This window comes from Homo sapiens, chromosome 4 (genome assembly GCF_000001405.40).
Source record: "Homo sapiens chromosome 4, GRCh38.p14 Primary Assembly".
NCBI classification, from domain to species: Eukaryota; Metazoa; Chordata; class Mammalia; order Primates; family Hominidae; genus Homo; species Homo sapiens.
The window spans coordinates 121,923,193-121,951,167 of record NC_000004.12 but is presented as its reverse complement, the minus strand read 5'-3'; the positions used below and the strand labels follow the sequence as shown (position 1 = coordinate 121,951,167).

General features: G+C 39.6%; 1 protein-coding gene and 1 long non-coding RNA gene across 9 annotated transcripts in view, besides 1 other annotated feature; one reads left to right on the top strand and one right to left on the bottom strand.

Annotated features, from left to right (window-relative positions):
* Window positions 1-186, bottom strand: part of LOC102724158 (uncharacterized) — a 38,699-nt gene extending 38,513 nt beyond the window's left edge. Inside the window, exon 1 of the long non-coding RNA XR_427598.4 lies at window positions 99-186. This is a non-coding gene — a long non-coding RNA (uncharacterized LOC102724158). The remainder of the gene's footprint in view (window positions 1-98) is intronic.
* The window catches only part of TRPC3 (transient receptor potential cation channel subfamily C member 3), a 77,580-nt gene that overhangs the window by 893 nt on the left and 48,712 nt on the right, over window positions 1-27,975 (top strand). For 7 of the 8 annotated variants that reach the window (NM_001366479.2, XM_011532218.4, NM_001130698.2 and 4 more), the window contains exons 2-3: window positions 18,126-18,897; window positions 25,962-26,150. In NM_001366479.2, the coding sequence (NP_001353408.1) occupies window positions 18,126-18,897; window positions 25,962-26,150 (961 nt within the window). Of the gene's footprint in view, window positions 1-18,054; window positions 18,898-25,961; window positions 26,151-27,975 lie in introns of those variants that run through there. The other variant, NM_003305.2, reaches the window with a different exon arrangement.
* Window positions 788-897: a silencer, noted in NCBI's record as "silent region_15661". NCBI's record gives its function as "represses an Ori minimal core promoter by ATAC-STARR-seq in GM12878 lymphoblastoid cells {active_cell/tissue: GM12878}" and the evidence as "EXISTENCE:reporter gene assay evidence [ECO:0000049][PMID:35858748]".

The following is a 27,975-nucleotide window of genomic DNA, read 5'->3' as shown; positions in this document are numbered from 1 at the left end:
GCGAGCAGCCACTCCCTGTATTAGAGCCGAGGAGCTCGCACGACTGCTGCCAGGGCTGGGCACCCCTTGGAAGACGGACCCCGGGGTCCCGAGCTTACCCAGGGAGGCCGAGGAAGGGGAAGATGTGCACAGACCCAGGCGCGCACTTGAACCCTGAACTCCTCCCGGGCGTCCCAGCGTGGACTTGGGTCCCCTCCGACGCTCTGGGACGTCGGGGGCGGGGGCAGAGAAGTGGGGAGTAGGGAGGGGACAGTGCGATACAGGGTGTGGGTTGAAGGTTTGCCCAGGCGCCTCGTCTCTCTGTGGTTCAGTCACATTTGGGGTAAAACTGGAACCGAAGCCCTATAGGGTCCCCTGAGGGAGAGAGTGGGCATCGGGCAGCCGGGGAACCGCTTTAGTGATAACTTTGACTGCGGTTCCCAGGCGGTGCAGGGTCAGCGGCTCGCGCCCCGGCGCGCGGGCTCTCTTTTTCTCTTTCTTTCTTTCCCTCTCTCTCTTTCTAAACGAAGGAGCGGTCGGCGCGCTAATGCATGAGAAAGAGCAACTTTTCTTAATTTCCAATCTTGGAGACAGCTTTTAATCAGTGCGAGACGCAGAGAAGATAAAAAGAGGGTGATCGGTTTCACAGGGTGAGATGCTCTGTATTTTTTCTGTCACGTAACACTGGGAGTGCCGCAGGGTTTACTGTCTTTTTTAGGAAGAACGCTCAGAACTAGGTAGAGAACTTGGGGTCGGATGGTGGCGGGCGGCGCAGACCGGCTGAGCCGGGGAGGTGGTTCTCCAGGATGGGGACCGAGGTTCTGCAGCGCCCCCTGCTGCCGGCGAGAGGCCCACCGCCCGAGGCCGAGACCTCCGGGATGACCCCTGCATCCCCAGGATCGCGCGCTGCTCCGCGCGCGCAGAGTCTGCGCCTGGTCAGGCTGGACCTGCCGGTAGAACACAGGAACACAATCAGTGGCTGGGAGTAGATCCCATAGGGAAGAGTTCTGATTTTAAATGAGCGACGCATCCCGATGTGGTTCAGTTATTGCTGAAGATAAGCGTGGAATGGAAACGGCCCAGGAAATGGAGGGAAGGTATATCCTTTGGGATGAAAGCGCCACCAGCTCACTTCCCCGTCTCCCTAAGGTTTTAAAACATTGTCCATTTTTCCTTTTGCCAAATTGGTTTTTATAACGTAGCTGTTTTTTTATTCCTTTTAAAATTCTTCTTTTTTAAAAACCTTAAATCCTGACTACATGAAACACCGGAACTCTTATCTGAGAAAGTAGGGCGGAGCAGAGATTATTCACTTTGCCTTCCGAAATTTGAGGTCAATTACACAAAACCCTAGGGCAAATTCTATTGTAGGCTTGCTGTCTCACTGCTAATAGAACATCTTTTGTATATGTTTGCTAACTTTACGTAATTCAGCAAGTAAATGTTGTGGTATACTTATTTTGTAGAGGTCGAGAAGAAGACCCAGTCATTTTTAAGGAGATATACATTAAAAACGTTTCTTCTAGAGGCAGGGCAGCAAGCTCTTCATGTTTATTTCAGGCCTGTCACTTGGTAACATCGGAGACTAGCTTGATCTCTGTAACAGAGATTAGCTGTTTATTCCACCTTTGAGGAGAATCCGGCCACTGTTTCATAAACAGTGTTTATTTATTGTTGTTTAAAAGTGAACACGACAGCCCTAGGATGGACTCCGAGAAGGATACCCAGGGTCATTTCAGGAGACGGAACAGCATAGCTGAATTTAAAATTGAGCAGGATGCTGAGGGTACAATCCCACCTTTACCAGGATAATTCCTCGGGGTACTTCTGTTGCTGGTTTCACTGCTCCATGCTGCCCTATTCCATGTGGAAATTTTAAATAGACTGACTTGGGAGGAAAAGTGTCACCTGCTGTATCACTAACAAGATTATTTTTACCTGTTGATAGAACTCTTGATTGAACCACTGATTCAAACCAAGACTTCCTTCATCCCAATTGGTTGCAAACCTAGGACCAAGTAATATGTCATTGTAGTGACGGCCTCATTTTTTAAAAATGTTTCAGTTATTCAGTATATGTGATGAATTCCAAAAAAGATATTGGAAGGCAGTTTTCATGAGTCTCAATTCAAGCGTTTCTCAAGCGTGCATATTTGCAAAGTGTAGGCTAGGTACTGCAAGCCACAAAGATAAGCATGACAACTTTCCTGTACTCAAGAAGTTTACAATCTCATGAGGGAGAGGTGGGAATGAGACTGGGCATGAGCAGTTATGCTGTAAATTAGAGTAAAATCAGTTCCGTTTTAAAAAAAAACAACAACAACAAAAACAAAAAAACAAAAAAAAAACCGCAAAGAGTTATAAAGGGTCAAGTGCGAAGAAGAGAAGGACAACATTAAGTTGTGGGGAAATCAAGGAAACCTTTATGGGCCTTGAAGGATAGATAGGACAAGAAGCAGAGACAAGGTAAATACTTAATTCAAGCCCTCTCTTTCCCCAAAATGCCAGGCATGTTTAAGGAATATTAGTTGAGTTTGGTTGGAACATAGATATGTATAGGGGAGCAGTGAGATTTAGCTGGACATGTTGGTTTGAGGCATTAGTGCGGAGGATCCTATATGCCAGGATGAGGCACTAGGGAGCCACTGATTATTTTAAAGTAGCAGTAATTTGAGCAAACCCACTCTGGATTGAAGTGGCAATTAATAGAAAGTGAAGAGACAAATTAGGAGATGACTGTAACTGTCCAGGCTGAGATTAGACTCTGTAATAGTGTAGTGTTGGTGGAATGGAAAGGGGAGAAATTGAGGGAAAAAAAAAAAAACCAGCTAGAATCTATGGAATTTTGCAACTCACTATCCATGATGGCTTTAAAGAGAAAGCAGGATCAGAGACAATTTAGTGATTTTTGACCCAGATAACCAACATGGTTGATGCCATTGTTGACAAGAAAAAAGCAAAGGTGAGGATCTGATTTTTCAGATAGTTCTCTTTTTGTTTTTTTTTTTTTTCTTTTTAAAGGAATAGTGAATGATCAAATATTTCTGATAGAGATGTTAAGCAGGGAAAAGGAAATACAAGTTTAAAGCTGTCTGATGGGAATTGTTACACAGTTGTGTGACTACATGAGATTACTCAAAGGAGTGTGAAGAGAGAAACAAAGGGAGTCCAAGCTAGATTTTGAGGGAAAAAGCTTTTGTTTAGAGGGCAGGGAGAAAAAGCAGCAAGAAATAACATCGATGCACACTCTTCAAAAACTGAAAGATCAAGAGAAAAACTTATGACTCTACTGTTAGAAGAATCAGTCCTTGCACGTATTAGCATACATGCACAAAATCATTAGATTTTTCAGCAATGTTATCTTTAACAGAGAAAGATTTCTAGAAAAAAAATCCTGTTTAGTTTTTCTTTAGAGGAAGTGCTGCCAAAAAATTGTCTTAATAAAAGTAGTTAATTTGTGTTTATATACTACTTCATGCTGTCGTTTATACTCATTCACTTAAATCGCTCCTCTTTAAAGCAGTTTTTTAAATCATTGTCATCACTTACCAAATGAGGAAATTAGTACACAGAGATGTAAAGTAATGTTCTAACGCTTCCCTGGCAAATCAATAATAGATCTTCTGATACTCACCTTTATATGATCAAGGAACCAAAAATGAGTCCACAATGCCTTGTAACTCAGATTACCTAAAACACTTTGTATGTTAGTTTCTGTGGCACTGGTCTTGTATAAATGTTCCAGTCTTGGCTTAGCGTGTGTGTTGGCTCAGGCATTAGACTGGAAGCAGGACTTCCCTCCCTCCCAACCCTGGAGGGAATCAGATTCTCCAAGTGATTGTTGAATCTTAGGGACATGAGTCTGGACTTTGAGTCCAGACTGACTAGTGTTATTAAGAAAGAGGCGGCTTTCTTTACAGTTATAGTTTAATTTTTAAGAACAGCACAGCATGGCATTAGACTTAAGGACTTTATTTTTTTAATTCTTTTTTTTTTTTTTTTTTTGAGACAGAGTCTCACTCTATCACCTAGGCTGGAGTGCAGTTGGTGCAATCATAGCTCATTGCAGACTCAAACTCCTAGGCTCAAGTGATCCTCAAATCTTAGCCTCCCAAGTAACTGGGACTACAGGCACACACTACCATAACTGACTACTTGTAAAATTTTTTGTATCGATGAGGTCTCACTATGTTGCCCAGGCTGGTCTCTAACTCCTGAGCTCAAGCAATCCTCCTACCTCTACCTCCCAAGTTGCTGTGATTATAGGCATGAACCACTGCACCACCCAGCCTTGAGGCCTTTAATACTCTGAAACTTTTCTTTATATTATCAGTTGTATATAGCAATTTCACTGTGTACAATGAGTCATCATTTTTGTTGGTTTAAGTTATTTTTATGTAATATCAAATAGTTTTAAAAGTTAGATAGTGCTAAAAGACGTCTACGAACAACAGCAAGCCCCCAGCAATTCCCTGGTCCCTTCTCCTTTTCTGTCTACTCCACTTTCAACTCTTTCATATACTGCTATCTTTTTATTCATATTTTAGATGTTATCAGTAGTCTCAGGTGAGAATTTATGTTCACATGTATCTATTATTCTCCCCCTATCTTCCACAAGATGGTTTATCACAATTTCTGGTTAATATCTTATTTAAGTTCTTCATTAATATGACCATGTAATCATTGTTCACCGCTAAGTCAAGTAGTATAGTATGACTACATTTATTTTCTTTGATAATTGATTGTTTTTCTTGGAGTAAATATTTGTCACATCGTGTCCTTGTTTCTTAGCTAAATCTTCTACGGTGTCTAACTGTGTGTGTTTTCCTGAAGTTATCCTTTCTAGAGCCCTCTAACTTTCTTTGTATGAGGTCTTTTTTTCCCCCCGCTTCAGGAAGCTCTTAGAATTGTCTGTTCATTAGCTCTCTTCTGAAGATGTGCCTTGGTATGGATGCTTTCATCATCACCTGAGCTGGACACTTGGGTAACACTTTCCATCTGGACATTATGTCCTTTAGTTCTGGGAAGTTTTCCTAACCACTATTTTTATTCTTTGCTTTTTCTGGAATTTCTATGGTCTGGATGTTGGACCTCCTGACTGATCCCCTAGTTTTTATATCTCTTCTCTTCTGTTTTCCAGTGCTTGCTTTTTGTGTTTTTTCTATTTCCTTGTCTCTATCTCCCAACTCTTTCACTGAATTTATTTCCATTTTAGTGATTATATTTTTAATTTCTAAGAGCTCTTTCTTGTCTTATGAGTATTCTTTTTTATAGCATTCTTTATTTCAGAGATCCAGGGGTTTTTTTCCTAATATTTCTCAGGGGAGAAGAGATTAGGAAATAATAAACCTGGCTGTTAGTATTGACGAACTGGGCAAGAGTCCCCCTGTTCCTAGTTCCTGCCCCCCTGGTATCCCCACGTCTAGAGCATTTCTGTTTCTGTATCTCCAGAGATTCCATATCCTATCTCCCATAGGGGTGCAGGAGGGTTGTCACTTAACCATATCAATTAGCAGGTGGGGATGTAGGGGGAGGGTTTCTATGCACTTTTTATATAGCCAATTCCCTCATTTTAGGTTCCAGCCTTATCTCTACTTTCTGGAATTTTTTTTGCTTTCAATTTCTGGGCGTTCTCTAGCATTGAGCTGGGTGGATCAGCTTGTTTTCTGTAACAGCCACTGTAGTTGGAACTTCTTTCTCTCCACTAAATGATTTACTATTTTAACAACTCATCTCCTTTCCACCGTTATATATTGTAGCTTGGAGTTACAAATGTCTCTTGGTTTCATGGAAGATGAAATTTGTGTTGCAATTCCTTGTTCTCCTTGTTTAGGGAGGTAATTTTGAAAAGGAGAAGGGATGAGAAAGGCCTTTATTCCACCATCTTGAGACTGAACATCCCTATGATACACTCCTATGATTGTGTGTTGTGTTTATTTAAGCCCTAACATTGGCAATATTATTTAACGTAACCAAGAATGGCAGAAGGAAGAACATTCTTACTCGTAACTGATCTTATTAAGCACATGGAGTAGATAGTAACTTACACTGTGTGATAAGAAGGTCATCTGAATTCCCCACCTAAAATCATCTTAGTACCACACTTCTGAAATTTAACAATATAGAATATTTTGAAGAATAATAGAATGTTTGAATTTGAAAGGATTTCATCTAGTCCAGTCTCTTATTTTACAAATTAAGAAACTGAAGCTGCAGATTGACATCTAATTCACAGCAGCCCCAGGCCATCTGAAATCCCCAGCTTTCTGGGACTGTGCTGTTCGCACTGTGGCCTCCTGTGGTTAAGCATTTCTCTCTTCCTCAAAGAAATTTTAAAATGCATTTACTCTTGGGAGGAGCAATACAGGAAACTATTAATTAGTATTAATTTATTTATGAAATCCAATTAATTCATTTAAATTTGGCTGCTGATGGCAAATCAACTTGAGAAAGTTGGTAAGCTAAATAGGAGGTCTAAGAGTAAGGGGAAAGAGGAAAAAAGGTTATCGCAAAGCACAGTTGACCCCCTGCCAAATATTATTTATGATTATCCCTTTTATTAATATTAAAGAGGTGAGAGGATCCCAGTCCAGCACTAGACCATCTTCTGAGGACTGAGTTAGAATTTTAAGGATTTTTCATTATTGTGCTGGGATAGAAAATGTGTCTGTGCTTTTCTGTCCCTCTCTCTTTCTCTTAAAGTTGTTATTAAACATTGAGCTTTTCCTCTGCCTACAATATCCCATAAACCTTTACTCCCCCACCCTCCCCCCACCCCCCAGTTTATAATAGGCAGTCAAACGCCATGGGAAATGTAATGGGAGGAAGAAAACTTTACGGAGTTGCTGTGCCCTTGGTAGGAAGGAATCCTTTAAATTTCCTAGCTCAGGATTGAGATTTCCTGTTTCAGGGAGGATGCTAAGGAATGATGAATGGCTGCTGGGCATTCTTCTAAGGAGGGGAGGCTCTTTGCTTGTCCAGAAGTCTTGCTTCTCAACCCTCTCCCCTCTACTGCCCTCAGTGTTGCATAACATCCGTCCAGAAGGGGCGCTGTGTTAGTGGGCTGTGCTGGGTGAACACATAGGAGTCTGGCCCCATACAGAGGGTCTGCAGATGTAGACTGTGGGATGGCTGACTTCACGCTTATGCACGAGGGGCTCAGCAGTGACTTTATGAGAATAATTAGGATTGTTAATAGCATTTTGTGTTTAATTTAGCATTTAGGTCAGGTATATTTGTCTTCAATTATCTAGTTAAAAAAAAACCTATTAAAAATACTATTTTCTTTGCACTGTTCAAATAATAGGTGATAATGTGGATTTGGTCCTAGGTCTTTTTAAAAAATGAGACTTAAATGTCCACAAATGTGTGACTTGTTAAGGAAAATGTGTGACTTGTTTTGACTTTAGATATGGATGATAATGATAGAAAACCAGATTCCTTTATTCTAATAACTATATATATATAATTGATAGTGACTAATGTATTTAAATATGAACTTCTCTTGGGTCAGTAGAAGTTCCTTAATTTTATTATCTATGGTCATTTTGTCTGAATTCTTGTTCAAGTATAGACTGAATTTATATAACTTTTAATTTCATTGTCACTAGTCTTCCTGAAATAATAAAAATTAGTTTTAAAAAGCATTGTGAAGATGAGTTTGAGATTTGTTTAATTACTAATTAATTATTAAAGGTTATTAATTTTAAGATTTATCTCCTGTTTGCCTCTAGATTATCCTGATAAAATATAACTATGTAAAATCAAAATCAAGAGATAGAGAATGCACCAAATACTTTTGTGGTGTAACTAAGAATTAAATGTTATTAAGCAGAAATTTGCTTTGAAAGAATGATTGTTGACATTACTTTTATTTCTTTTTATTAATTTATATTATATGTGACATTCTTTTTTATAGACGAATCACTTCAATTCCCCTCCACCACTGCTTCTTCCACACATAACCATATGTGACTAGGGGTATTCTGTAATCTAGGGGGGGAAAATTATCTGTTCCTTAGGTCTTCAGTGATGTGGTTTAACTATGCGTGCATCTGGGCACCCATCCCTCCAATAGATATTCATCACCATATACTAAAAGCCAAGCATATGGAGATGAAAAGAGGCAGCCTTTGCCTTTAAGGACATTTTAATATCATTGGGGAGATAGGCATGAAGACAGACAATTGCAAAGCAATACAGTAGTTGGTTTAATGGAGTTATACACAGAACACAGTTCCTAGAAGCATAAACATCTAAGTTCTAGAAGGCATTTGCTTGAATACTTTCTTGGGCACATACGTTCGTTTAAGAAGTATTACCAAGAAGTCATGCAGGCAATGGCTAAGGGTCCTCACTTCTGCTCCAGTGTACTTTTAGAGGGAACAATGCACTGTTAGGTAGCTGTTTGCTTTTCTGGTTTTAGCTGCTGAGGAATCTGGCAAAGAGCTACTCATGCTTTTATGAAAAGAATGAGAGATAAAGCAGTGGAGATAGACCAGGGTTCCTCTCCTTAAATACACAACAGCTTCTTGCTTCTGACAGTCATTAGGGCAAATGCCAAAATTAGCATATATCTAATAGATTGTTTTTAAGTTTTTTGTTTGTTTGTTTGTTTTTTGAGACAGGGTCTCGTTCTGTCACCCAGGCTGGAGTGCAGCAGCGCAATCTTGGCTCACTGCAACTTCCAACTCCCAGATTCAAGCCATTCTTGATTCTTGTGCCTCAGCCTCCCGAGTAGCTGGGATTATAGGCATGCACCACCATGCCCAGCTAATTTTTGTATTTTTAGTAGAGATGGGGTTTCACTTTGTTGCCCCAGTTGGTCTAGAACTTCTGGCTTCAAGTGAGTCATCTGCCTCTGCCTCCCAAAGTACTGGGATTATAGGCATGAGCCACCATGCCTGGCCAAGCTTTATTAAAATTATGCATGAAGAATTCTGAATATAATGCAGACCAACAGAAACTATCAGGGAATTCATTACTGTGGAGACCTAAATATCTCTCTGGGCTTATAAGTGCTGGAATGCTTATATTTTAAATTTTTATGTGTGTGTGTCAGGGCGGCGGTGGGAATGATGAGAATCTTTAGAAATGAAATCTGCGCTTTCCTCTTTCTTCAGTGAAGCACCTTATCTTGCTGGTTTGGTTGTTACTGTGACAATGTATTATTGAGCTCTATGATGTGTAGGTAGATGCAGGCTGAGAAGTAGGTATGAGATACTTGTGGACTACCTGTGGCCATGTACTCTCTAACTAGACAGTTGAAGTGATGGGCTAGCTTTCCCTAGCCTTGCATGCTGGTGTACTTAATGGCTACTGGGGTTCAGAGTGTCCCCACTCCACTTCTTCCCCTCCAAAAAATATATATTAAGAGATGTTCAAAATGTGTGTTTTTGATGATATTATTAAGACTGTCAGATTCTGTCTCCTCCTTCCAACCACATACACATAAGCCTATTGTGTAAATGTCAGATGTCTCCAGAGGTAGCCACATTGACTGACAGGTGCCTGCTTGCCAGGGAGATTATGGGATTTTTCTATTTTTTGACTTTTCTTCTCTGACTTTCTTGTCTTTTCTTCTCTGACTTTCTTGTCTTTTGTCAGTACCTGCTGCTTCCCACCCTCATTACCATTTCCAATTATCACCATCTCCATAGTGTAACTAACATGGTGGCTGTTGTCTAACACTTTCCCCCACTTCTGTGCTTTTCTCACTACTTATCTTCTGTGGCTCCATCTGCCCTTCTTGCCCTTCAAAACTGACGCACAGGATCCTGGCTGGTTAGCACAGTCACTTTCTTCAATGTGGTGAACTGCTCCATCCAAACATTTTGGATGTCATTCTCATTAACTCAACTCACATTGATGGTGTTCTTACTTTGCTTGCTTGCTACATGGGTTGAATAGTTGGTTAATCTTTACCTCATTCAATAAAGGATTTGAGGTGACTTCCGTAATAATGCTCATGTATTGCAGTGTGCTAAGGAGCTTGTGATTCAACCCAAACACCCATGTTAGAAGCTGTTCTTTGTAGAACCAAAATGTTCTGACACATAAGCTCAGCATGCATTTTAATAGTGATACTTGGATTTATAACCCATTGTTCATTTTCTTATTCCCTAGCAGCATCATGATAAAGTAGCCAGGAAGACCTCTGAGCTCTAATCTTCTAGTTCTGTACTCCTCAGTGACCGTAAGGGAGGTAGCATTCTGATGAAGTCTTTAAATCTGCAGAATTAGTATCAATTGCCAAGTATTTTTGAACATATACTACATTGTATTAGGTACAGTAGAGATAATATGTCAAGAATAAAACATAAGATAAGGCACATAAAACATTTATCCTCAATTGAACTGAGGACATGATTGTCACAGGAGACAATAATCAAGGAGACAAAAATCAAGGAGATGAGGTAAAATTAAGTGTCTATATTTATGAGTAGACTACCTATATTACAAAAGCTTGGGCTGAAGTGGTCAGGAATGGCTTCAGAAAGGATCAAAAGACCCAACATTTCATACTGAACAGAATCTTGTGGGTCATATCGGCATTGCCCTGTGAAACGTGACCCTCTGTATACAGAAGTGTAATGTAAACTGGACCACTGATGGTAAGAAGGATTTGAATTGGCAAAGAGCAGAAATAACAGTGTGTTCAGAGAGGGAAACATAAGAGGAACATCCTGGAGGTAGGTGTAAAAGGGTCAAGAAATCACTCACAACTTGGATGGGCAGCAACGTGTAGCTCCTGTAATCTGCCTGCAACAAAAGTCTGTCTCCTGAGCCTCCCACTTACTGAGTAGGAGAGAAAACATTAAATGCCCAATCTGTGGTTCACATTAGTGTTTTAAATTTTGTTTTGTTTTTGCTTACTACACAGACACTCAACAAGTGAATAGTGCAATCAATAAATTAGGCAATTAAGTCAATTAAGCAATTAAGCAGTTACGTGAATTGACAAGGAGGGAAGGCTTGCTCTACATTTGGCAGGGATTTGGTCAGTTAGGACAGTGTCTCCCCACGTCTTGAGCCGGTGTGGAAGGGGCTTTTGCTTTCTGATTCTTGTCCCCCAATCTTCTAAAGGGCTCAGAGTCTCAGTGGCCTGTCTGTCTACCAGCATTCAGCACACTGCAGAAAGAGGCCGGGAGGCTGACCTCTTTTATCTTAGTTCGATACTATAAAGTAAATGTTTATTTGGATAAACTTGCTCAGGCTCTCGGGAACTACCCTTTCCCCTGCTCTTCTCTGTCACATCTGGCCCTTGGGGGAGGGGAGCTTATGTGTCCCTGGAGGGGGAAAGAGTTAGTGTCCTCTAACTCTTCTGGTCTCTGGGCACTGTTCTATGTCTACTTGAGTGCTGCTTGTCAGCAGAAGTAACTGGATCTTGGCTGACTTTCTTTTGTTAGAAACCCAGATATGCTCCCTCAAGTACTTGGTTTCAGCTCAGCTCCCACTGCTACAAATCCCAGCACCTGCAACATCTTCCATCCAGCTTACAGCACCAGCAATCTGTCCCAAGCCTTAGTGCAGGCTACCTGGCTCTCATAGCAGTGTCCACACCACAGAGGAGCTGAGGGTGGCTTGAGAAAGCTCTTTGCTTTTCCCATATCATTCCATTACTTAACCAGTACTTAAGGTACTTCCTCACCTTATTGAATCCACATCTTGACTTTTACTTCCCTTCTGTTATTTATTTGTCCTCCCAGGACAGTAAGCATCACGGCTTTGCTGTCAGAAGTGGGAGAGCTATCTTGTCTGCATAATGAGAGCACTTTATGATCAGGGTCCTTCAGGATGAATTAGAGGAATAAAGGAATTGAGAAAATCTTTTCATTAGACAGTTTCCCTTTTCTCAAATTCTGCTTGCAAAATCCTCAAAATCATTCATAAAAATACAAAAATCCCATAATTTTTTGCTTGTAAGAATCTGAACTTCTCCATGATCCTTTTCTTTTCACTCCTGTAAAATGTATCTTCTCGAACTCCCCTTGAACACACCCACCCAACTCTATACTGCACCACCCACCCTCCAGGCAGAGATGTCCTGAGTCAACCAGGGCAAAGATCCTGTATTTGAAAAGGCAAAAAAGAAGAGCACCTTAATATATTTTCAACAAATGTCCTTAATAGTACGGGAGTACCCCTTGACAGTACAGAAATGGCAGAATAATATGTTTACAGGATAGTGAAGAATGAATCTGGGGAACAAGGGAAGGAAGGTTGGCTAGGCAGGGTGGGGTGGGCTGTCACCATCCCTGAAAGTCATACAGACGAGTCTCGACTGATGAAAAGAGCAGTAGGGGTGTTACTGATGGTTTCCTGTTTTGGTTTTTTTTTTTAAAGAGAAGTGTGATATGGTGAAAACAGAGTTTATGAACAGCAAGATGCTGGGCATAGTTGTCATGTGTAAAGAGGAGAATCAGGTACAGCCTGAGGCAATGGAAAATAAGAGTCAGACAGATTCCAGGTTGAATCCCAGTTCTTCGTTATTTTACCATTTGTGTTATCTTTGGCAATTTCATTTGAGCTCAGTTTTGTTATCTATGAAACAGAGAAAATTATACCTGCTTCGTGGTATTGTTATGAGAGTTAAATATGATAGTGCATTGAAAACATTACATACATATGAGGTGCTCAGAAAAGTTTAGTTGCCTTCCTTCATGCCATCTCTGCTGGGAAGCTGTTACAACAACCCAGCTATGACTTGATAAAGATCTGGAGGCTGGTGCTGGCAATGAGAATTGGAAGGAAGCATTCAGTACAAGAAACATTCCAAAGCAGAAGCTTTAGAACTTTGTGACTGACATGATCAAAACAGTGAGTCATAGATGACCTTGAAATTTCTAAACCTGAATAATCAGCCTGAGATACAAATGTTAGGAGTGGGAGCTGCTTTAAGGAAGAAGGTGAGTTGGGGCATTTTAGAGTAACCAGGTGATAGACCACAGTATATGTGGGACCTGAGGTCAGGTGAGAGGATGGGATCTAGGAAGAGATTTAGAAACTCAACTAAACAGATATTTATTGATATTTATTTTCTATGGGGCACTGGGTAGAACTCTGTGGATAATGATAAATAAAACATGACTGTACTATCTATGAACGTGTACAGTAGAGGCATATATGAGAGGGTATTTCTTAATACTCTGGGTTGTTTTTTTTTTTTTAAATAAATTCAGACACTTGAGCCCGGGAGGCAGAAGTTGCAGCGAGCCGAGATCCTCCCACTACACTCCAGCCTGGGTGACAGAGTAAGACTCTGTCTCAAATAACTTAAAACAGGTTTAAAACACATGGAATATAGGATATTTGGTTTTAAATCTGTGTGAGAAATAATTTAAAAAAGGAGAAAGACTGTGCCAGAAATGTGAAATAAGATAGTAATAACAATTGAGCAGTCCCCCTAAGAGAGGGGCAGGGGAGTGAGGGTTATACAGTTTTTATTTTTAGATTAAAGGACAAAAACTTATCTGAAGAGAGAGGCTTCTTGATTTGCAATTCTAGGTTGACTTTGGCACTTTAATCCTCATAAAAGGTACAAAGAATACTATGGTGAACAATCTCTTTAACTCTTTAATTGTTTTTGAAAAGATACAATAACCTTTTAAAAATATCACTCCTTCATAAAAGCAAGGTCTTGACATTAAACAGTCACTGCTGAAGGCATTTCTGTAGGCTGCCTACTTGCTGTGCTGTGGTTTAGGTAAATAGCTTCCTGGAGACCAAATTTTAAATAGTTAATAAAGTTTAGAGAAACTAAATGAATGTGAGGCTACTTGTCCCTTAGCCTGTGCTGCTCAAACATATTATTTCAACTTCATTTTTGGCAGGACCAGAGTGACAACTGCTTGAAGGCCTCATAGCCAGGGGTCCTTGATCCAGGATGCTCCATTATTTTTATATTGGAGGTTCCCAGTAATTGTAAAGAACTTTCATTTAAAGGGCATATTTCAGGGTCCAACCGTGAGAGATTCTGATTTAGTTCATCTGAATGGGGCCCAGAAATCTGATTTCAACAAGCAGTCCAAGTGACCTTGAGGCAGGTGGTACTCAGGTCACACTTAGAGAAACCCTGTTGGAGGTCAGATGAGTTGATAGCAAAGTTAGGAAAAGTGAGGAGTGTTACTTGTATTTTAGCTTCTGAATAGAGCAGAGCAGAGGGTTCCCTATGGCTCCACCACAATATTTCTCAGAAGAGCCTTTCATCTGCTTAAGTGTTTGGACAAATTCTAGGGTCCCACAAAGCATGAAAAAAATGTTTTGCCTTAAAATGTATTGTCAGTGTCTTCATTCAGGCTGCCATGACAAAATATCATAGAATGGGTGGCTTAAAAAAAAGACACACACAGAAATTTATTTTCTTCCAGTTCTGGAGACTGGAAGTCTGAAATCGGTGCCAGCATGTTCGGTTTCTGGAGAGGTACCTTGTAGGTGGCCACCTTCTCAATGTTTCCTTACATAGGAGGTAGCAGGGTGAGGGGAGCAAGCCCTCTTGTCCTATAAAGGCACTAATCCCATCATCAGAGCCCCATCTTTATGATCCTATGATTTCAAAATAATCTCCCAAAGGCTCTGTCTCCAAATACTATCACATTAAGGGTTAGGGCTTCAACATATGAATTTTGTGGGGACACAATTTGGTCCATAGCAGTTGGATATTACCAGCTATCTGTATTAGTCATGAGGAGCTTAAACATGGCCCTCATAGATCTGCGGGTCAGTGGTACTCCAATGCTTTTACCAGAAAGAAGTCCCTGCAGAATGCACTCTCGCGGTGTTGAATGACCCATTGGATGAAGATCTGAGGGTAGGAAATTCCTGGCAAAATAATTTTAGTGTTAACATTACTAGAGCTAAACATTCTCCCCCATTCACCCACATTCCTTCCTTATTTTTCATGCTAGAAGAGATACATTGTCAAGGCCAGCTGAGATTATGTTTATGCATTGTGGATGATGTGAATATTGACTCGTTCCATCAGTTCAGATTAATGAAATTTATCTTAGTACTATAAGGAAAGTTAACAAAAAGACACTTCCATTTGTGAATTTATCATAAGATGAGTGATATTAAGTCAGCTCTTTTATTTTGAAACAACAGTATAATTTGTTCTAATTGAGATATCTCACTTCTCAGTGTCAGAAGTTTTTAAAGACAAAATAAAAATGACATGTGACTTGTTCTAAAATCAGACATTTCAGTTCAAATATATAGTATGGAGGTATAGCTTTTGAAGGAATAAGAAGTATTAAGGAAAACCGTAAAATACTAAGAAATACAAAGGAAATATTGATGAAAGAATGATGTCCTAATGTTCTCAACCTGGTGTCTTTTGGGAGAAATAGTAAGATTTTTATAAGTGATTTTTCCCTGTAGATAGCAATCATTAAATTAAAAGCCTTTCCACCAAGATGTGACACTTTAATAAGAGTTTATTTTCCCAAAGGTAACCCCTCTGAGTATTGAAATTCTGACATATATACTCCACATATATTTCCTCTCATCAATATATAATATTTTATACAACATGGAATTTCTAGCCATTTGAAGAATATCAGTTCATAGATTAATAATAAAAATATTAACCCAATGAAGTCAGTACCACTAATAGTCATAAAACATACTTATTACTATAATATTTACAAGATTTGTTTAAAATCCTTGTCATAGAGTTTGGTCTTGAAACAAAGTTCTCTTCTATGCAGTTCTTGTCCACCTAAAAGTCATTATTATACCAACACACACACACACACACACACACACACACCCCACACATGTCCCCCAACTCAGACTTGCACCCTTCCCTTGTCTCCCACACATACCACACATACACTCTACTCCACACTCTCCCCTACACATCATACCCTACTCATAACAGCCAAACACAGCACATTTATTTCACTTCAGAAAGATTATAATGTAATGGTTTCTAATAAATACATTTTAACATTTTTGTCAACCAAGGAATTAAAAATAAAATTTTTAATAAATAAAAATTTAAAACATTAATTTTATGTTCAATAAAGAGATTCACACTGTGGTTAAAACTATTCAAAATATGCAAAAGGGTATAAGTGAAAAGTAAAAAGTGAAAGTCCCCCTTCCTGTATGACTTCTTAGTCCCAGTCCAGATATAACTTCAAAATCTTCATGTGTTGATTTCTAGAAATTGCTACAAACACATATGTGTATATAAAACAAATATGTTTATTTAATTTTTAAAAGTTGATCACTTGACACTAGTTGAGCCATTAGAATTGGGTGCCAGTCACAGCACTGTGTCCTTGCATAAGTCAACAAGCCTCTCTGGGGACCCCTTTAGTTGCCATACCTCTATAGAGTCAGGCTTGCCCGGCCACATTTGCCTTAGTCCCTATCTGGGAGAAGCCAGTGGCTTCTGTGCTCCTCTCTCTGTTTGGGGCCCTCAGAGCTGAAAACAGAATGGACACTGGTAGGTGCCTCTGATTCCTCTTGCCAGGGAAGCTTCCCAATTTAGTCATCCACCCCAGGCACCCAGGGAGGCCAGTGTCCTCTCTAGTTAATTTTCAACTCCTGACTCCACGAATACAGTTTTTTCAATGGTAGGAGGTATTTCTGGAATATATATTCTAGAAATAAAGCATTTTCTTTTCTAGCCGTTCACTTTTAACTTTGACTTATTTGCTTCAAAAGTCAGTAATGTGGAAGCTTTATCTGGTACTTTTTGGTACAATTCATCCCACCAAAAATCACAGATTTTTAAAAGGAAGTTATCTTGAACATTGGAAGTGGGTAAGGTAAGATACAGATTTATACAATATTTGTGCAACATTTTAATAGCCACCAAAATATTGTACAGATTATTGAAAGATTATAGATAGTCACGATGTTAAAAGTGTTTATTTAGCATTGTTTTTCAGAGACTCTGAATTTCCGAAAAAGCTTTTTATTCATGAGGAAAATCTGAGAACTTCATAAAATTCGATTTTCTACCTGGCGTAAGGATGCACAAGGAAATGAAATTATTTACCTAACATCACAGAAATTAAGATGTGAACTCAAATCACTGTACACATCAATTGACATAACTTTGATAATGCAGCTAAATAAATCTCAACTAATGTGGTTGTGTTAGGATTTCAGTGCGCATTGATCTGGATGTACAATTAGTGCCCAGTTGCTTTACTCACAAAGTAATTCTAGTGATTTTTAAACCATAATCAAACCTTGTCGTTTCAGTTCCAAGAGGCAAATATATAATACTAGTAATTAAATAATTCTTATTACAAAGGCACGGTTGTTTTCAATAAAATCAATCTAGGTTGATGCTCAAATTTTATAATTGCTAAATCTTGTCTGCATCTTTGAAAAGATAAATCCTATAACTTGGGGATGGGTGAATCCCCTTAAGAGAAACGCATAAGGTGGAGGGTGTGGGGGCAAGTGGCATGTGCCTGTAGTCCTAGCTACTTGGGAGGCTGAGGTGGAGGATTGCTTGAGCCTAAGGGTTCAGGGCTGCACCTGTGATCTTGCCACTGCACTCTAGCTTGGGCCACAGAGACCCTGTCTCTAAAAAAGTATTTAAATAAACAAAAATTTTAAAATAAAGAGAAAAAGATGAAACTAAGATCCTGCAACATGATACTTGGCCTAAATCCTGTGCTTTTGTAGGGGGCTGAGGGTCAATGATTTTATTTAGTTAAAAGGATGCAATGACTTGGCAGGAGTGTTTTGGCCTCATTCTTTAAAAAATTAACTTCTCTTAGTCTTCAAGCCTAGTACTTGAATGTCAAGTACCTGCAAGCCTCAATGTCCAAGACTTTTAAGAGCGGAAGGTACGATGAGTTCCATCTTTACTAGGGTCACAAGGAAGGCATGGGTATATGGAAATTTTTATTATTATTCCATCTGAATATCATTTTCTAGAGAATAGGAGCTTTTGTTCTGAAGGGCTGCCGGCTTCCTTCTGGGATCTAGCAGCCAGGGTTAGATCACAGGTGTCACTTTCAGGCGAGTAGTTAGCAACGGTATCGCTAGCAACTGAGCCGACCCCTGCAGCCAGAGGTTTGCAGTGGGTAGTGTGTATTCCAGAAAGGGCCCTGACATGTGAAAGGAAGGAATGTGCCCTAATATTCTACAGTTGTTTTATCGTTGCTACTGATTAGGTCCATGGAGGGAAGCCCATCCCTGAGACGCATGACAGTGATGCGGGAGAAGGGCCGGCGCCAGGCTGTCAGGGGCCCGGCCTTCATGTTCAATGACCGCGGCACCAGCCTCACCGCCGAGGAGGAGCGCTTCCTCGACGCCGCCGAGTACGGCAACATCCCAGTGGTGCGCAAGATGCTGGAGGAGTCCAAGACGCTGAACGTCAACTGCGTGGACTACATGGGCCAGAACGCGCTGCAGCTGGCTGTGGGCAACGAGCACCTGGAGGTGACCGAGCTGCTGCTCAAGAAGGAGAACCTGGCGCGCATTGGCGACGCCCTGCTGCTCGCCATCAGCAAGGGCTACGTGCGCATCGTAGAGGCCATCCTCAACCACCCTGGCTTCGCGGCCAGCAAGCGTCTCACTCTGAGCCCCTGTGAGCAGGAGCTGCAGGACGACGACTTCTACGCTTACGACGAGGACGGCACGCGCTTCTCGCCGGACATCACCCCCATCATCCTGGCGGCGCACTGCCAGAAATACGAAGTGGTGCACATGCTGCTGATGAAGGGTGCCAGGATCGAGCGGCCGCACGACTATTTCTGCAAGTGCGGGGACTGCATGGAGAAGCAGAGGCACGACTCCTTCAGCCACTCACGCTCGAGGATCAATGCCTACAAGGGGCTGGCCAGCCCGGCTTACCTCTCATTGTCCAGCGAGGACCCGGTGCTTACGGCCCTAGAGCTCAGCAACGAGCTGGCCAAGCTGGCCAACATAGAGAAGGAGTTCAAGGTAAGCTTTGCGCTCTACCCCGGCTGCTCTGTGTGCTCACCCAACTTCCCCGCTGCTGCCTGGCCTGCTCTGCCACCGTTCGCTCCACATTCGGTTTTGCCCAGTGAATGTGAAATCACGAGGGACTGAGAACGTCATTCAGACCTCATCTAATGTTTTCTTTCTCCCTCTCAATGATGGTGCTGTGACAAATTCGCTTTGGGGATCCAGTATTCTGGATCAGAGAGCTATAATTATGGTGCCGCTCTGTGTTGGGTAAGCATTAAATAAAACTCAAGATTTCTCCCCTTTTTGCTAAAAGGAGGGTTTGGGTGTGACTTTTTGTCTTCCAAATCCTTCCTCCTGTTTTGTAGTTAGTTGCATGGTAGCACATAAGTAATATGTTTGCTTTATTTCCCCTGAGGGAGTATACCGTGTCTGGATGTCCTGCAATACTAGGTGTGTGGTGGACTGGACAGAGCAAGCTCCTATTCCATCTCCACGATAGTGTTAGTTTTGGATGCACTGTTCATTGGCCCAAGCATTTGTGTATCCCTTTAGAATCAAAAGTCAAAAGACCAATAAAAAATACTATTAAAGTCACTTCACTGATATGACAAAATGCCTCTCCCTGAATTCCACAAATGTATATTCAGAGTGGTGAGCCGTAGATGTCAGTTCAATCTAGAAATATGAGGACAGCAAAGTGATTTGCTTTAAGAGATTTTTTTTAATAAGTGAACTTTTTTTCTGGATATTATTTTCAATCAAGCAGTATTATTTATTTGTATAAAAATTATATATTAATGACAGATCATTTTATTTTTTAATCAGTTGCTACCTCCTCCTATGCGTTTTGATTGGTTCTAGCTACTAAATCTGGGTATTTCATAGTTCCGATCAATATTATTTAGACTGTTTTTGGCAGCTTCTTGTCTCCCATTTCCCATCTAAAAAGACGATTGTAGACATCAATTCCTTGAATTATTTTCTAGATGCTAAGTTAATCTTTTTAGTTTAGTGTTATGGTGTCAGATCACAGAAAAAGTGATTATTCTTTCACATCTGAATATGGTTTTTATAGTTAGTGAGATTTACACAAATGCAACTAGCAATATAATTCAGGATACAGAAAATATACTTTGCCCCGGTGTTGCAAGAAAATGGTGGGAAAGTGGTCCCATCCCTTTTCCATACACACAAAATTCCCTGGATATCCATCAATGCTCATTTTGTCCCAGTGGAGATCTGGACTTACTGTAATTTTGTTAACCCATTAAAATATTTTTCTGATGTAAAAGCTACACACATTTATTGTAAGCATTTTCCAAAAAAGGGAAAATACAAAGAAGAAAGTAAGTCTTACCTTATATCTAACCCCTTTGAAGAGATTCATTATGTGGTATTTGAAAAGATTTATTTACTTGGACCCAAAATGTTTTTTTTTTTTTTTTTTTTTTTAGATCTCAGAGCAAGTTGAAAACTCCAAATTCCGTTTAGAGACAGTAGAAAAGCATTTAGGTAAAGCACTTGTAAATATCACTTTGTTGTTTTGAAACAGTAATTAAAACATAATTCTAAACATATTTATTTGCCACTATTTCAAATGCCACACAAATCTTGTTTTTACACATTTTTCTTGATATATACTGAAAGTCTGCAAGAGATTCTATAAAAGGGAATATTTTCTAAGGTCGTGTTTTAATAATTTACTAAAGATGGTGATGTTTGCAATTCCACCCAGAGTCGTCAGCTCAGTGCAACCATGGTAAGAGAATTTGTTATTCATAGTTTTACCCTGAAGCTGACTAAGTCCATATTGGTAATGCTTAGAATCTCCCTTATTCTGACTTAAAGGGTCACCTCTGATAACCTTTCAGGGGTGGGGAAATATCACAAATAAAGAGGCAAAAAGAGAGAAAACACAGTTGAATTCTAGAGAACATCCATAAAGCTGCCAAATATCTATAAGGTTAAGCAAAAATCATCTAAATCTCCCAGTTCTTTTTTCTAGATTATATGGAAAGTGCTTGTGTAGCAAGATAGCCCTCTCTGAGCCAAAATTAGGACAGTTCTTTAGAAATTATAGTCTCCAAGGACTTCATGTCTCTCTCCCCTAACTCAATGTGCCTTTTCTTTCTCATTTTTACCTGTCCTTGTTATTCCTTTCTTATCTGCCTTTCTTTCACCTTTCTCCCCTCTTATCCCATGTTCATGTCCGTCTGTCAGGGCTTTAGACAGACAGAGAAAATAGTGCTTTCATAGCACTGACCCTGAGACTCTGAGCTCTGAAAGGGCAGCAAAAGTGAAGCTCATTTCTGAGACAAGCAGGTAACCTAATTTGCCCTATTCCATGGTGTTCGCTATATTCTTCCCATGGGGACTTTGAGCTCAAAGTATTAGCCTTGAAATTAAAAAAAAAAATTTTTTCCTAGTGAAAAAGAGGTGATTTTTTTTCCTTTTAAGACACCTATATTTATTTTATCTTATCAATGGCCTATAATATCTAGTATCTCACCCCCGAAATTGCCATTATTTAGATGCTTCAGAGAAGATTCTCAGCCACTCTGCAGTTTTCACATTTCTTTGAGGAATACAGTAGGTATGGTGTTTAAAACATGTGAAGGTCAATACCCTAAGAGGTCAAATATTCTAGGATACAGATTTAGATAAATTAATGGAGGATAGCTCGGTGACAGGTTATTAAAGAAATATTTTGGATGTGCAAATGCTGTTTGAAGCTATTCTGAGAAACAGAATATTGGAAAGATAGACTCTTGGTCTAATCCTCCAAAATGTCAGTGGCAAGGAAGCCAGTCATTTATTAAGCTGTGAGGACGCAAACTGAAATTTTCTAGTTCTGACTGAGTCAATGACGCACCTTTTTTGTAAAAATAAAGAAGTAGGGAGAGGCGTTTGCTTCCCTGTGCCTCAGTTTTCCTCTCCTTAAAGTAAAAAAACAATTTCACCTTATATCACACTACAGCTGTAAGGAAGAAAAAAAATGAATATAATCCAAAAGCAAGGTGACATTTTATAGCAGGAAAATACTCTAGGAATCATCTTTCACTTTGTAAAAGAGAAAACAAAGGCTGTAGGCAACATTTCATATGTTAAGCCTAGATTTGAGTGTCTTGAGTCCCAGTCGTAGGTATTATATCTAATATAATGTACCTGGTAATATTGAAGCACTTCTTAGCACCTAATTTGTACCAAACACATTCTAAGCATTTAATCCTCATAGTACCAATATTGGGTAGGATTATTCATGTCAGAGAGGTAAAGTGAATTCCACAATATCACACAGCTAGTAGGTGGTAAAGCAGTATTTGAACCCAGGAAGTCTGGCTTCAGACTCTATGCTTTTAATCAGTATGATAACTTGCCTCTTTTGTTATTAGGGAAAGAGCCTGACAGAACCAAGCCTGTTAAGAGTTGAATTTCAGTTTTCCACTTCAGGATAAAAAAGGATTAGAATGGTAATTAAACATATACATTAAAAGGAGTGTGCAGAACCTGTAGATAGATTGTGATGAAGACTGAACTTCATTGTTCTTCCTCTGGCTTGAGCAGATCCTTAGGGTTTTAAGTTCTGCTCTATAAGGTGTGCAGTAGGTCCACCAGCTAACTGTGGAGGGCTGTGGTAATAGATGAGCAGTATATTAAAGACCATTATGCAAAACTAACTTAAGATAAACTTATTAGAAAATGTAGACCAGACAAATGGTCTGATCTGTGAAGTAACGTGGTGGAATTAACAGTCAATGCGGCCTCAAGGTGGAACTAACAGTCAATGTGAACTTTACATAGATGGTTGCTTTTGCAGCTGAAGAGAGGCTGTTCTTAGCTGGAGTTCTCCATCTTTCCCACGGAACTCTGCATAGGTTTAAAAAATGGTATCCAATGACTATAACAAAAGAAATCACCATTATCTCCAGCTCTGATTATTTTCTGCACTCTGGCAACAGACTTCTTCAAGTGGGAAATGTTTAAATTGTTATAAAAACAAGTAGTGCTGTCCTTGCAACATGTTTGATTATCAGTTTTTTTATCTTTATTGATCTTTCAGTGGATGTGAAAAAAGCTTTCCTTAAAACTAAACAGTTTATAGACTATAATTTTATAGGTAATGAGTCATTATTTAGGTATTACTACAGATGTGGGTACTAAGTGTTCTTCAAAGCACGGAAGGTAGCCTCTTTTTATTTCTGATCAGTGGAGAAATAACCACCCTATGTTGTACCAAATCTTACAGAACAGTCTGAACTGAAGAATAACATGAGGAAATTTCATCTAAAAAAATTATATTAAAAGGGAAGCTTTATATGGAAACAGGCATGGATTTAATACTTCTTCTGGATGCTATAATAAAATGTTTCATTAGTCTTTCAGGAATGGAAAGCAGATGGATATTTAACTGACACTCTGCACAGAAACCAGAGACTGAACATTTTATTAATTTTATCAGTTGCATGGTACCAACTTGAATGGAAACTAAAGATTGAAGTTTTATTCATTTTATCTGTTCCCTTACGAAGGGAAAAGGATTAACTGTAACTGTTCTTTATCTGAATTTCTCATATCTGAAATGGAAACTATTCTAATCTGTGTAGCCTTTAAACAGTCTCTCTTCTTCTTGTTTATTTTAGCTGATGACGTGGTTTTGCTCATCAAATCACGTTAATTATTTAAAGGAAAAAAATTGAAATTTTTCACATGTCTTTTTTAAAGTATGATTTTTGGAAGCCCAGTAATTCTGCTGAGCCAAATATTACTTAGTAATATGGACACATACAATGTCTCAGGACATGTTACAATGGGAAATTCTGTTTTCCTCAAGCATTTCACATTAGATTATTATCTGGTTACCTTTCCTAATAGGCTAGAATTTTAGTGAAAGTCATAAAAGTAGAACTGGAGTCTCCAAAAATGAGATACTTTCTCAGGAGATGGTCATTGACACCTTCATTAGAACAAATGGACTAGAAATAAAGCTCCATTCAGAAGGCAACAAGGAATGCTACCAGCTGACTTCCTTATGGCAGTCCATGGCAGTGTATAAATATGCAAATGAAATTAAAGATTCACGGATTATTTTTAGCAATGTGTTAGTTCCAGTGGCCTGGAAATTTTTCTCTCAGGTACTGAATTCTGTAACCCTTGAGAATTCAGTTACATACAGTGATATATTTCTCTTCTTCTAGTTCTGCAGGGCACAGTAATATGCCCTTCAGACAAACAAACAAACAAAAAACCCTCTGTATACAGGTGGGTATCCATCTACCTCTCTACATTCGCTATAAACCAGTTATTCTCAAACTTAACATGTATCAGAATCATCTGAAGGGTGTGTGAAAACACACAGAGATTGCTGGGCCCTTCCTCAGTTTCTAAATCAGGACATGTGGGCTGGGGTCTGAGAATTTGCATTTCTAACACATGCCCAGGTGCTGCTGATGCTGCTGGTCTGAGGACTACACTTTGAGAAGCAATGTCTCCAGTAAGGCAAGGGATAATGAACTGGACAAGTTATTTTTCACTGTCAACCTAAATAACAGAGAGAGAGGTTCTCTAAAAGAAAATGAGGCCGGGTGCGGTGACTCATGCCTGTAATCCCAGCACTTTGGGAGGCCCAGGTGGGTGGATCATTTGAGGTCAGGAGTTCAAGACCAGTCTGGCCAATATGGTGAAACCCCATCTCTACTGAAAATACAAAAGATAGCCGGGTGTGGTGGCACATGCCTATAATCCCAGCTACTCGGGAGGCTGAGGTAGGAGAATTGCTTGAACCCAGGAGGCGGAGGTTGCAGTGAGCCAAGATCGTGCCACTGTACTCCAGCCTGGATGACAGAGCAAGACTCCATCTAAAAAAAAAAAAAAGAAAACAAAAAAATAGAAAATCATATTTATTTGGGAATATAACATTGCAGTGGAAATACAAGTGACATGGTAAACTATGTGTGTATTCAGGGAGGTAAAGAAAGACAAGGTTTTTAAAGGAAAAGTGAGGAGGGTTACACTCCCGGAACAATAACAAAGGCGGAGCCAGTCCAAAGTTGTACAGGCAGTTGCTGGGCAGATGTCCTCACGGAGGTATTTTTTGTGTAAGGTTGCCATGGCCTTTATGCAAGGTTATGGTTTTTGCAGTCTTTTGTGATAGTTTTATGTGTGAGAACCCTCCCTTCGTGGCCTTCTCTGACTCTATTAGTCAGGGTTTTTTTGTTTTGTGGTGTTTTTAACACAGTTGACTTAGTTTTGACAACTTTCATATCACATATAGTTGATCTTCTACATCAAATTGCCATTTTAGAAAAATTGCCATTATAGAAAAATTTCCAATGTAGAAATGGTCTTGTTTTGGCTTTACAAGAACTATTGTTTGTACAAAAGAGAGAAAACTCTTTGATCCTTTGGTCTTTTGGCATATACTTTTTTGAGTAAATGCTTTTTAAAGTTTTTAATTGACAAATAATTATTGTATATATTTATGGGGTACCATGGGTACCATGGGATGCTTCGATGTATGTATACAATGTGAAATGATTAAATCAAGCTAATTAACATATCTGTCACCTCACGTTACTTTTTGTGGTAGTGAGACATTTGAAATTTACTCATCAATTTTGAAGTATATAGTACAGTATTAAAGCTATAGTCACTGTGCCGTGCAGATAGATCTCAAAAACTTATTTCTTCTGTCTAAATGAAACTTTGTTCACTTTGACCAATATCTCCTCATTCCATCTCTACTTCACCCTACCTCCTACTCCCGCCCCCTGCCTCTGGTAGCCACTTTTCTATTCTCTGAGTATGACTTTTTTAGATTCCACATATAAGTGAGATTATAATCATGCCATTTTCAGAAATATCTCGGATGGTTGGGCTGGTTGCAGCAGAAGGAAACCTGGCTAAAGGGTTGGGTGGGTGCAAATCCAGCCTGTATTCAGCTCAACAAGCCTTGCATCCAGGTGGGCTGCAGCTTTCTACCCCCAAAAGAAGGGATACCTTTTTCTAATTCACCCAAATACTTTCCACTGAATAAAAGCAAATTATTTGTGTTAAAACACTAAACCTCTTGTTCTTAGAATGACTATCGGAAGCTCTCCATGCAATGCAAAGACTTTGTAGTGGGTGTGCTGGATCTCTGCCGAGACTCAGAAGAGGTAGAAGCCATTCTGAATGGAGATCTGGAATCAGCAGAGCCTCTGGAGGTACACAGGCACAAAGCTTCATTAAGTCGTGTCAAACTTGCCATTAAGTATGAAGTCAAAAAGGTGAGTGGGCCTACTTTCATCTAGTGCCATATTAGAATAAACATGTGATACAAACTATGCCATAATCCTAGGAAAATTATTAAAATAATAAGACTAGACGCTAGTAGGCTGGGCAACATAATGAGACTGTGTCTGTACAAAAAAGAAACAAAATTAGCTGGGCATGATGGCATGTGCCTGTAATCCCAGCACTTTGGGGCCTGTAATCCCAGCGCTTTGGGAGGCTGAAGCAGGAGGATCACTTGAGGCCAGGCGTTCAAGACCAGCTGGGCAACATAGCGAGACCCTGTCTCTACTAAAAATTTAAAAATTAGCCAGGCATGGTGGCACGTGCCTGTAGTTCCAGCTACTCAGGAGGCTGAGGCAGGAAGATCACTTGAGCCCAGGAGATTTGAAGCTGCAGTGAGCAATGATAGCACCACTGCATTCCAGCCTGGGCAACAGAGCAAGCAAGACCTTGTCTCAAAAAATAAAATAAAAAAATAGATGCTATTGATAAAAGAGTTTTTTGTGGGGGGTAAAGTTGCAAGTTAAATGTGTAGCTTCTGATCCTTTCTACTTTTTACCCATGGTGGGACCTTGAATAAGTCATAAATTTTTAAATTTCAGTTCCCTCATGTACAAGGAGGATAATATCTCTTATCTATCTCAGGGTTTTGGTGGAATTTAAATGAGTTAAGATATGCAAAAGCACTCTGTAAACTGTTAATTACAATACAATTAATAATGCTGTTACTTGTATACATTTTTGTAAGGCATTTTTACATTGTTATGTGAATCCTTGCAGCAAGTCTATGTTATTATTCATTTTATCTATAAAATACATCAGATAGATGATGGGGTTTCTATTCTACAAGGAAACTGAGGATTGCCAAGCTTCAATGACATGTCTAAGGTCACATAACTAAGGAGTTGGTCATGCAGGTGCCAGAAATAAAAATTATGATTTTTTTACTCTGATTATTGCAGAAAAACTGTTATGTGTATCTATTTGCTAACTTGTATGGGGCTTTTAAATAATTCACAAAAATTGTAGTTATGTTTCACAATAATAAATATCTCAGTTATCCAGAATCCAATACTTTATACATGTTATATAACAGACTTTCTTGTACTTTAAGAGAAACTGATAAATCACAAAGAAATAAACTGTTATCAGCTCTGGTTTTATGAAGTTGGTCAATTTACAAAGAGCCAAGTGTTCTGTCTTTTCTGCAGTGTGACATGGTGCTTAAGAGGACAGGCACTAGAGCCAACCTGTAAGGATTCATGTCCTGACATCACCATGTGCTCCTGTGTGACCATGAGCAAGTCACCTAACCATCCAAGCCTCCATCTGCTCACTAGTAAAGTGAAGACAATAGTTGTACCTACTTATTCATTTGTTTAAGGATTGCATGAGATAATGCATGTGATTAGCACACAGTAGTACATGGTGATTTCTCAATAAGTATTTCTCAATAAGTATTAGCTATTAATAATAACATTTCTACATTATGAAAATTCATACCCAGAGTGATGACTCTTAAGCTAGTTAATCCTCACTCGTCAAAGACAGATTTCATGCCCCTTGTACTGAATCAAGTCCTTAGTAAGAGGAGTTGATTTAGGCAGGAAGGAATTTAGTAAGTGATATTGAGGAAGCTCACAGAATCCTAAGAGGAGGTAGAGGAACAAGCTTATCTAAGCTGTGCTTCCAAAAACCTCACCCAGAACCAGGCACAGTGCTGACCTGTTAAGGGAGTTTCTGTGGCCCAAACAGAACAATTCTGCCTCTGCTGCTCCCATATCAGCATAGAAAGGATGCTCTGCATCCTGCCTGTTT